Raw genomic sequence first — 12,150 nt, forward strand, 5'->3', positions numbered from 1 at the left:
TTAACATTTATTGAATGCTTACTTTGTGCCATACAGTGTTTTTACTTAACTTGATAATAAGTGTTAGCTATGGATCATTATTCCACTGATATGTGTAGAGTGACACTTTTTAAAACTTACAGTGTTTTTAGCAAATGATAATTTACAGGGTTTTTCAAAACCCTTTGAGGTGGCTTTAGAGTTGCTCAGAGAGCAACTGAGCAGATTTTGAACTGGTAATAGAAGGCAATTTTGTAACAGATAAGAGAGAAGTAAAGATAAAGGCCAGATGGAAGTAGCACCCAGTGTTGAAAACAGGCTGATTTGTTTATTTTAAAAAAGAGGAAAGTAATGCTGAGACCCAACATGTAAATACAAGGCAAGTGTGACCTTATAAAAATGAAAAGTTAGCTTTGATATATGGGTGGAAGGTAAAACATTTCAGTGAACCTAGCACAGTGAAGGCTCTACTATATCTGAAAGATACACTTTGGATGGGAAAATGATCATTCATGCATTATGAAGTATATTTCAACCAAACAACATAGTATTTTCTAATAATCAATGCATTGGAATTGAAGGCATATGGAATATATCATGTAGTAACAACACTACTCATTATGTAGGCCACCTAGTATTGCTTATACTTCATTTAGGTACCTCTTTAATGATACTTACATGGTACATGAGGGTTGATCTTGGAATTCCTGTATTATTCATACCTACTTAGAAATTCTGTTGGGATGAGTAAGATGTAGGAATGAATATTCAAATAGATCTCAGAAGCCAATTGGAACATATTAGAGTCACGCACCCCAATTATTTGTATCTCATTTTAGAATGCTAGTCATACAGCTTAGCACCCGGATTATCTTTCTCTCCAACACAATTCTGTTATGACTTATGGTGACTTCATATCCATGTAAGCCATCCAATCCCCTATTGGATATTCCCTTTCTATTCTTCAGCATCCTCACTTCCAATGATTATTCCCATCATCATACCCCTGATGTATGGTTCTCAACTTTGGATCACCACCTACCTTAGGGAGCATTTGGAAATGTATGTGGGTGCTTTGTGTTACACTGACTGGTAGATGCTACTAGCATTCAATACCCAGGAGCCAGGGTGGTTAAAAGTTCTGCATTGGGAAGAAAAATCTCATACAGTGAAAAATTGTCATTTTTCTCAAATGCCAAAAATGTTCCCACTAAGAAACACTACCCTTGGCCTTGTCATTACGCATAACTGAATTCCAAAATCTCCATTTCCAGCATTTTATTCTTTGACCACTATTTCTTTTTGTGCTCATAGTGCAACAATTTTTGACCTGATCGTAACTCAAATTCACTGGCCTTACCACTTTTTCACTAATTACTACCACCCTCCTTCCCACTGTGCCCTTACTTCCCTCCTCATGCAGCATGGATTCTGTGTTGTATCATCGTCACTTTCTTGCATATATCCTCAACTTCCTCATATGTCCCTTTGTCATATTCATGTGGAAAAAACTCAAACCTACTTTATTTTGAATCTCTGCCTACTTCCCACCTGAACCCAAGGAAGTGAATGTGATTAAATAAAAACATAACCATGCTGATTCATCTTTATTTAAACAGATAACCAAGAACTTCAGGTGGGCTCTCAGCACTATGTGATAATCCTAATTATATAGTTCCCAGTGCATTCAGGCTCCACATTTCCCAGTCATTCTGCTATCTTCTCAAACCTCCAGCATCCTCTGCTTAGCCACTCAATCTCAGCTGCGTCTTTCACTGAGAAAACAGAAGCAACCCAGAGATAATTTCCTCCTTTTTTTCATTACCTTTATTTTTCACATTCCTCCCAAATCTGTACCCACATACTGTCCCTTCCCTCCTATTGGGAATGAACCATCTGCATGCCCGTCTAGAGCTAATACCTCACTTTGCACACTGGATTTTATCTCCTCATATTCGCAAGGACTTTGGCCCTGTAGTTTCAACCCTACACTTTGTATCACCAATATTCCCTCTATATTGGATCACTTTCATTAGCAAACACACACCATTTACCAAAAAAAAAAAAAACAAAACAAAAAACAACCCTTCATTTGACTCTGTATCTCCTCTAACTGCTGACTCATTTTTCTCCTCTTTTATGTAGCAAAACACCTCAAAAGTGATACCTATTCTCTACCCACTTTCTTATCTTCCATTCTGTTTTGAACCTTCTCCAATTAGGCTTTCAATCTTATTACCCCGCCAAAGTAGTTTATTCAAAGTCACCAGTAACCTCCATATTGCCCAATCTGTGATCAGTTCTCAGTTCTTAGTTCTTATCTTATTTGAACCCTTGGGAGCATTTGATATCGTTGATCACTCCTTCCTCCTTGAAGCACTTTTTTAAAGCCTTCCTTATGATGTACTACACTGTATTGGTTTTCCTCATCACATCTAGCCGGTCTTCTCTGACTTCTTTGCTAGTTCTCATTCTCTTCCTGACAGACATAAGTGTTGGAGTTTCCTAGGGTTCAGTCTTTATACCTTTCCTCTTCATTATCTATACTCGCTCTCTAGACAATCTGTACCAACACTGTAATTTAAGATGCCATATTCTGACCTATGACTCCCTAATATATATCTGTTCTCATCCTGTCTTTGAAACTATGGATTTTTAAATCTTCCTGCCTAGTTGTGATTTTCACTTGGATGTCTAATAGGCATCTCAAACTTAACATGTACAAAAAAGTTGAAAAAAAATTATTTTGCTTCTCCTAGCTTTTTTTCTCTATCCCAGAACAATATTTTCACTAGTCATCCAGATGGTTAGGCTCCAAATCTGTAATCATCTTCGGCTCTTCCCTTTCTCTCATGTTGCATTTCTGATACTTCAAATCGTGTCTGCTCCTGTTTGAAAATAGACCCAGGAGTCTGCTACCTGTCACCACTGCTGTGGTTACTATCACTTCTTGCTTGTACCTATGCATTAGTCTGCCCTTTCAGCTCTTGATCCAGAACAGTCTTTTCTCCATCTGTTGGCAGAATGATCCTTTTAAAATGGAAAACATGGGCAGGCATAGTGGCTCACGCCTGTAATCCCAGCACTTTGGGAGGCCGAGGTGGGTGGATCACTTGAAGCCAGGAGTTCAAGACCAGCCTGGCCAACATGGTGAAACCCCGTCTCTACTAAAAATACAAAATTAGCCAGGCATGGTGGCAAGCGCCTGTAATCCCTGCTACTTTGGAGGCTGAGGCAGGAGAATTGCTTGAACCTGGGAGGCGGAGGTCGCAGTGAGCCAAGATCGCGCCACTGCACTCTAGCCTGGGTGACAGAGTGAGACTCCACCTCAAAAAAAAAAAAAAGGGAAAATATCCAATTACTCCCTTACTCTAGTCTCCTGGCATGACTCCTTATTACTCAAGAAAATGGAAAACCTTGACTGCCCATGAAGGACTCCATGATTAATTTTATTGTTACTTCTGCAACTTCACTTTCTACTACATTTTACCTCACTATTCCACTTTAGCCTTTCTTTCTGACTGACTTTCTTGCTCTTTTTTGAACACTGCAGGCCCTCTTCTCTCTCAAGGTCTTTGTCCTCCTCTTCCTTATATTCAGGTAGTTTATCTTGTCACTACTTGAGGTCTCTTTGCCCTGTCAAATTTCAAACATATGAAACAATGGAAAACAAAGAAGCTAGTAAAACCTGTAAGCTGGTTAAATCTAAATCATTATTGACCTTAACGATTGCAGTATTAGAAATGGGGGTAATGGGTTGGTTGGAAGAGTTGAGTTTCCTTTTTGCTTTGGTGGAACAATATGGGGTATGAGAAACTCTAGATATTGATTCAAAATATAATATTAAATATATATTTGAAATATTTAAAGATGGCCATAAGAATAAAAATATTTAATTTGTAAAGAATATGATGGAAAAAAGAAATAAAGAAAGCTCCATCAATCTAACACAAGCCGGGAAATAAAAAAGAGGGGAGAGAGGGAATGAACAGGGAAAGAAGGAAGGGAGGGAGGGAGGGAACAATAAGAAAAATAGTAAATAAAGAAGATAGGGGCCGGGCACAGTGGCTCACGTCTGTAATCCTAGCACTTCGGGAGGCCGAGGTGGGTGGATCACGAGGTCAGGAGATCAAGACCATCCTGGCTAACATGGTGAAACTCCGTCTCTACTATAACTACAAAAAAATTAGCTGGGCATGGTGGTGGGCACCTGTAGTCCCAGCTACTTGGGAGGCTGAGGCAAGAGAATGGCGTGAACCCGGGAGGTGGAGCTTGCAGTGAGCCAAGATCGCGCCACTGCACTCCAGCCTGGGTGACAGAGCAAGACTCTCTCTCAAAAAAAAAAAAAAAAAAGAAGATAGGATGTAGCTGTTCCTTAAATACAGACATACCTCATTTTATTGTGTTTGCTTTATTGCTTTTCTCAGATGCTGTGTTTTTTACAAATTGAAGATTTGTGGCAGCTTTACCTCAAGCAAATCTGCCAGCTCTATTTTTTTTTCCAACAGTGTGTGCTCACTTTGTGTCTCTGTGTCACATTTTGGTAACTATTGCAGTATTTCAAACTTGTTCATTATTATTCTATCTGTTATGGTGTTCTGTGATCATTAATCTTTGATGTTATTATTTTAATTGTTTTGAGGTGCCATGAGCTGAACCCATATTAATTAGGCAGTGAAATTGATAGATAAATATTATGTGTGTTCTGACTGTTCCGCCCAACTGTCTTTTCCCCCATCTCACTCCCTCTCCCTGAGCCTCCTACTTCCTGAGACTCAACAATATTGCAGTTAGGCCAACTAATAATTCTGTAGTGACCTCTAAGTGTTCAAATGAAGGGAAGAATCACATATCTTTCACTTTTAATCAAAAGCTAGAAATCAGAAGCTAGAAAAACTTAGTGAGGAAGGCATGTCAAAAGCTGAGATAGGCTGAAACTAGGCCTTTTGCACCAAACAGCCAAGTCATGAATGCAAAGGAAAAGCTACTGAAGGAAGTAAAAAAATGCTACTTCATGAATACACAAATGATAAGAAAGTGAAACAGCCTTATTGCTGATACACAGAAAGTTTTAGTGGTCTGGATAAAAGATTAAACCAGTCACAACAGTTTCTTAAGCCAAAGCTTAATCCAGAGCAGGGCCCTGTCTTCAGTTCTTCAAAGGATGAGGGAGGTGAGGAAGCAGCAGAAAACTTTGAAGCTACCTGAGGTTTAAGGAAGGAAGCCACCTACATAACCTAAGAATACAAGGTAAAGCAGCAAGTGCTGATGTAGAAGCTGCAGCAAGTTATCCAAAAGATCTAGGTAAGATAACTGATGAAAATGACTACATATTTTCTATGTAGACAAAACAGCCTTCTATTGGAAGAAGATGGCATCTAAGAGAAAGCTACAAAGGAGAAGTCAATGCCTGGCTTCAAAGCTTCAAAGAACGGGCTGAGTCTCTTGTTAGGGGCTAATGCAGCTGGGGACTTTAAGTTGAAGCCGATGCTCATTTCACATTCCAAAAATCCTAGGACCCTTAAGAATTATGCTAAATCTACTGTGCCTATGCTCCATAAATGGAACAACAAAGCCTAAATGACAACACATGTATTTACAGCATGGTTTACTGAATATTTTAGGCCCAATATTGAGACCTATTGCTTAGAAAAAAAGATTCCTTTCAAAATATTGCTGCTCATTGACAATGCACCTAGTCACCCAAGAGCTTTGATGGAGATGTACATTGAGATTAATGCTGTTTTCATGCCTGCTAATATAGTATCCATTCTTCAGCTCATGTTTCAAGGAGTAATTTCAACTTTAAAGTTGAAGACTTTAAAGTCTTATTATTTAAGAAATACATTTCACAAGGCATAGCTTCTGTAGATAGTGATTCCTCTGATGGAGCTGGCCAAAGTAAATGGGAAACCTTCTGGAAAGGATTCACCATTCTAGATGCCATTTAAGAATATTAATGATTCATGGGAGGAGGTCAAAATAGCAGCGTTAGCAGGAGTTTGGAGAAGTTTGTTCCAACTTTCATGGATAACTTTGAGGAGTTCAAGACATTAGTGGAGGAAGAAACTGCAGATGTGGTAGAAATAGCCAGTGAACTAAAATTAGAAATGGAGCCCAATATGTGACTGAATTGCTGCAATCTCAAAATAAAATCTGAATGGATGAGGAGTTGCCTCTTAGGGACGAGTAGAGAAAGCGGTTTCCTGAGACGAAATCTCCTCCTGGTGAAAACGCTGTGAACATTGTAGAAATGACAACAAAAGTTTTAGAATATTCCATAAACTTAGTTGATAAAGCAGTGGCAGGGTTTGAGAGGATTGACTCCAGTTTTGAAAGAAGTTGTGCTGTGGTAAAATGCTACTGAACAGCATCACATGCTATAGAGAAATCTTTCATGAAAGGAAGAATCAATTAATATGGCAAGTTTCACTGTTGTCTTAAAGAAATTGCCACAGCCAGCCCAGCTGTCAGCAACCATCACCCTAATTTGTCAGCAGTTATCAACCTTGAGGCAAGACTCTCCACTAGCAAAGTTTTTACAATGTGCTGAAGGCTCAGATGATCATTAGCATTTTTAATAATAAAGTATTTTTAATTAAGATATGTACATTTCTTAGACATAATGCTATTGAATGCTTATAAACATAACTTTTACATTCACTGGGAAACCAAAAACATTGTATGACTCACTTTATTGTGATATTTGCTTTATTGTGGTGGTCTGAAATGGAACCCATGATATGTCTCAAGTATGCCTGTATTTTGGCTATTAACCTCTATCAGATATGTGATTTGAAAATATTTGTCTTCCATTGTGTAGGTTGCCTGTTCACTGTTGTTTGCTGTGCAGAAGCCTTTTAGTTTGATGTAGTCCTACTTATTTATTTTTGATTACGTTGTCTTTGCTTTTGATGTCATTTCTAAAAAAATCATTGTCCAGACCAGTGTCATAGAGATTTTTTAAAATGTTTTCTTGTAGGAGTTTTTTCTTTTTTTTTTTAAGAGATGGCGTCTCACTCTGTTTCCCACGCTGGACTCCCGACTCCTGGACTCAAGCGTCTTCTAGAAATTTTATGCTTTCAGGTCTGATACTTAAGTCTTTTATCCATCTTGAGCTGATTTTTGTCTGTGGTGTAAGAGAGGAGTCTAATTTCAATTTTTTTGCCTTTGGATATCCAGTTATCCAGCATCATTTACTGGAGAGACTGTCCTTTCACCGTTATATATCACCCTGTCGACTATATTTATGGATTTATTACTGGGTTCTCTATTCTGTTCCATTGGTCTATGTCTGTCTTTTTGCCAGTATCATACTCTTTTAATTATTGTAGGCTTGTTGTATGTTAAAAAATAGGTTAAGGACTTTAATACAGACTTCTCCAAAACACACAAATGACCAACAGAAACAAACTCAATGTCACTTATCAGGGAAATGCGAATCAATGCCACAGTGAGATAACACATCACACTTGTCAGGATGGCAGCTATTTAAAAAAAGATAATAAGTGTGAGTGAGGATGTGGTGTAATTGGACCCTTTGTACACTGTTGGTGGGAATGCAAAGTGGTGCAGCTGCTATGGAAAACAGTGTGGAGATTCCTCAAAATGTTAAAAAGAGAACCACCATTGGACTTAGTAATCCCACTTCTGGGTATTTATCCAAAAGAAGTGAAATCATGATCTTGAATGGATGTTAGGACTCCTGTGTTCATTGCAGGACTAGTCACAACAGCCAAGATGTAGAAACAATCTAAATGTCCATCAAGAGATGAATGAATAAAGAAAATGTTGTATAAACAACAATTGATTACCCTTAAACAAAGAAGGAAATTCTGCAGTATGCAACAACATGGATAAACTCCGACGGCATTATGCTCAGTGAAAAAAAGCCAGTTACAGAAAGACAAGTGCTGCACGGTTCCACTTCTATGAGTGTTTATGATAGTCAAATTTATAGAATCAAAGAGTGGAATGGTGTTTGGAAGGGATTGGGGAGACTGAGAAATGGGGAATTTTTAATTAATAGGCGTAAAGTTTCAAGCAAGATGAATAAGCTCTAGAGATTTGTGTACAACATTGTACATATAGTCAACAATGATGTACACTTAAAATTTTGTTAAGAGAGTAGGTCTCATGCTAAGTATTCTTACCACAATAAAATTAGAAGAAAAGAAAAATTCATGAAGGAAATAGTTGACTCTAGAGAGAGAAAAAGAAGATAGAATAACATGACTGGTATAAATCCAAATATACCAATAACTATAATATAAATAATAGAGCTGAAATGTATCTTTTGAACAAAGAGGAAAGAAGACAGACTATGATAGAAAAAAAGATGCACTTAAAATATAGTTATCCAAAAGCTTTAAAAGATTTAAAAAATATGGTATCCTGGGACTAGCTTGTACCACAAGAGCCAGTTTTGGGTGTCTCTTTCCAACCCCTTATTCATGTTGGTTGCTTGAAATCAATCATGGTGCATATATTTATTTCACAGAAATTGACCGGTCATGGTGGGCTCATGCTTGTAATCCCAACACTTTTCAAGGCCAAGACAGGATGATCACTTGAGCCTAGGAGTTCAAGGCTATAGTGAGCTATGATTACACCACTGCATTTCAGCCCGGGTGACAGAGCAAGACCCCATCTCTAAAAAACAAAAAAACATATCCGTACCAAAAAATCAACAAACATTACAAGTCATGCTCTTCCCCCAACATCCAAAGAACTGATTTACCAGCACACAACTAAATATACATCAGATAAATGCTAAGAAAAAGAAGATATAGCAATATTATTCCAAGACAAAATTAATGGCAAAAAAAAAAAAACACATTAGGAATGACAAGAATGGATAGTTTGTGAAGAAAATGTAGAAATTATGAAATGTTTATGTATCTGAAAACATGTTAAGCAAAATTTGATGGAAATTGATGAATCCTTAGGTGTATTTACTGTCCTGCAGTATATTTAGTATGTACTATACTCAGAAATCAATAATTCAAGTAGAGAAAACATAAGGCTACTTTGTTTTCAAAGCCATGTGGAACATTCACAGAAACTACTGACATCTTAAGCCACAAAATTTAACAAATTCAAAAACAGAAAAATTGTTTTAGCTATCTGCCTCGAATATGGTGTAATATAACTGTGATTTAACAAAATAAGTGGCCAAAATTTATCTATCCACTTAAAAATTGTAAACCCTTCTATCTGATTTAGGGTTAAGGAAGAAATAAAAAGTAAGTTCATGAACTGTTTCAAATTAAAAAGCAGTAAGAATATTAAAACCTTTGTAATTCAGCCAAAATGTAACTTTGAATTTTAGATATTAGAAAAATAATACAAATGAAGTGTAATCAAGGAGAAGTACATAGGAATCTTAAGCTATGTGTGTAATACACAAAAACAAATTTGTCAAGTCCTTGCCTAGACAGGGAGCCAAGCTGACAATCTTGCCAGAGCACAGCCTCTGGCCCTGCCCACCTTGAGACCTGGAACAGCAACCTTGCCAGCCCCAGATCCCAGCTTACGTACCCACCCAGGCAGGGAGCCGCACCACAGTCCCTACCCAACTGTGGGGCACAGTCTGGACCCCGCCGACCAAGGAGCCTAGTTAGCAACCCCACCTGGCTATAGAGCTCAGCCCACAGCCCTGCCCATTTGCTAAGCACAGCCTATGGCCATGCCTGGGCAGAGAGCCAACCCATTGACCCTGCCAGACCCCAGAATACAGTCAGTTACCTCAATTGATCATGGAGTGCAGCCTTTAGCCCCAACAACTATGGGGCACAGCTGACAGCCCCATCCAACCAGGGAGCTCAAGCGCAGAGCACATCAACAGCCTCACCTGGTCAAGGAACCCAGCCTGTAGCCCCACTTAATCATGGAACCCAGCTTGCAGCCAGCCTGACCTGGGAGTCCTGTAACAACACTGACCAACCACACAGCAAAGCCAGTAGTCCTGTCCAGAGAGAGAACCAAGCCAATGACCCCACCCAACTGCAGCGTACATCTTGCAGCCCTGCTTCATCATGCAGCCCAATGTGCAGCCCTGCCTGAGCAAGGAGTCCAACCAGCAGCAATATTTGACCAGAGAGCCTATCCTGGATGCCCCCCAACTGTGGATGATTATGAAGCCTACCTGCAGCCCAACTGCAAAGCCTAACACATGGCAGCACATGGCCAATGAGCATAGCCTGTGATCCTGCCCAACAGGAAGCAATTCTAGAGCCTAGCCAGCAGCCCTGTCTGACTGCAGAGCCCAACCAGTGGCCCCACCTGACCTTAGCAGTATGGGCAGCAGCCCTGCCCAGCTAGAGAACCTGACAGCAAGTACTGCCTGCCTACCCATGGATGTTGTCTGCTGGCCTGTTCAGATCCAAAGGTTGGACTGACTGGTGAAGGACTATTCCTGCTGAAGAAAACCTGTAAAGGCTGGAAGAAGTGGCTGCTTCCTTAAATGTACAGACACCAGTGCAAAGATACAGGGATATGAAGAATCATGGAAAAATGACATAATCAAAGGAAAATAATAAAGCGCAAATAATTAACCCTAAGTAAATGAATATATAGAAACTGACAACAAATTCAGATTAGCCCTCTTAAAGTTCAGTCAACTATGAGAAAACATGATGGACAACTAAACCAAATTAGGAAGACAACACATGATCAAACTGAGAGGTATTATATATAAGAAAGGAAAAGTAAATTAGAGGTATAAAGATTTAAAAAAGGAGATAAAGTTATCAGTCTTTGCAGTTAGTTATTTGAATTCCTAGAAAAAGTAATCAACTGAAAAACTCCTATAAAAATAAGAAAATATATGTAAAATAAAATAAAATGCCCAGAAATAAACTAGATCTATAAAGAGAAAACTTTAAAACAATCCTTTGAAACACAGATAAAGACCTAAACAAATGGAAAGGAATACCATGTTCTTTGATTAGGAAGACTCAGCATTCCAAAATGTCAACGTGCTCCAAATAAAATGTAACATGATTGAAATAAAATTACCACAGTAAGATATTTTTAAGGGGCAGAGAATCTACACAAGCTGAATGTGAAATTCATATGGAAAACCAAACAAGCAAGAACAGCAAGAAAAATCTGATAAAGAAGGGTAGTGAGAGAGATTGCTTTACCCAATGTTAAAATGTGTTGTAAAGCCTCATTAGTTAAAATATACTCAAATATAAAACTTAACTAATAAAAAGAGATGGAACAGAATAGAAAGTTCAGACACTGACAAACATTTATGAAACCACTTGGAGAAAGATGGACTGCTAAGTGGTGATGGGACAAGTGAGTATGATTTTATTTAATAATCTTCTAAATGATTACAAATGGATAAAAAAATTTTAACTGAAAAATAAAAAAGTAGCAAAAAAATTGTGGTTTGAAAGTATTTTTATATACCTCATTGTGGAGAATGCTTTTTAAAGTATCCCGCTAAATTCAAAAGCGAGAAAGGAAAAGATTCATTAATTTGAATACATACAAAATTAAAAATATTTTTCTGTGACATCAAACAGTACTGTCAAAAGAAAAAGAACAAATAATGAAATAATTGAAATATATACAATAGGCAAATATAATTTCCCGAATACGTGAAGAACTCCTATAAATCCCTAAGAAAAAACAAAAAATGACAAAGAAAATATAATTATTTCTTAAGGCTGATGCTCAACTTTGTTTATAATGAGAGAAATGAAACTTTAAAATACAGCAAAAACACAAGCTACTCTGAAATAGCATATTGGTATTTTGCTAGTTGTGTGGAGAAACAGATACTTTTTATACATTCTTTGTGGAGATATATATTAGTGCTATCTTGGATGGAGAACAGGGATAGAATTAAGTAACAGCTGTCAAAATTATAGTTATACACACCCTTTGATCCAGCAGTTTCAATTCTAGCCATATATCCTGGAGATGCAAAAGTAATATCTGAGCACCATTATTTATTCTAACATTGCTTGTGCTAACAAAAGATTGGAAACAGCCCAAACATCTAACTAACCTGCTCTCAGCTCACAAAGCCATGTATTGAAGCACTCTGTCCAACCAAATTAAGGAGTAACTTTTTGTTACCCACACGTAGGTGTGGTATGGGCTAGCTTTTACTGATTTCTCAAAGAGGCAACTTAAAGGCTTGTGAAGTAGTTC

The 12,150-nt window shown here is 38.0% G+C and overlaps 1 protein-coding gene across 14 annotated transcripts in view; it reads left to right on the forward strand.

Moving 5' to 3' along the window:
• The window catches only part of CNTLN (centlein), a 393,595-nt gene that overhangs the window by 336,519 nt on the left and 44,926 nt on the right, over positions 1-12,150 (forward strand). The window lies entirely within an intron of this gene.

Source organism: Homo sapiens, chromosome 9 (assembly GCF_000001405.40).
Source record: "Homo sapiens chromosome 9, GRCh38.p14 Primary Assembly".
In the NCBI taxonomy this organism is placed as follows: Eukaryota; Metazoa; Chordata; class Mammalia; order Primates; family Hominidae; genus Homo; species Homo sapiens.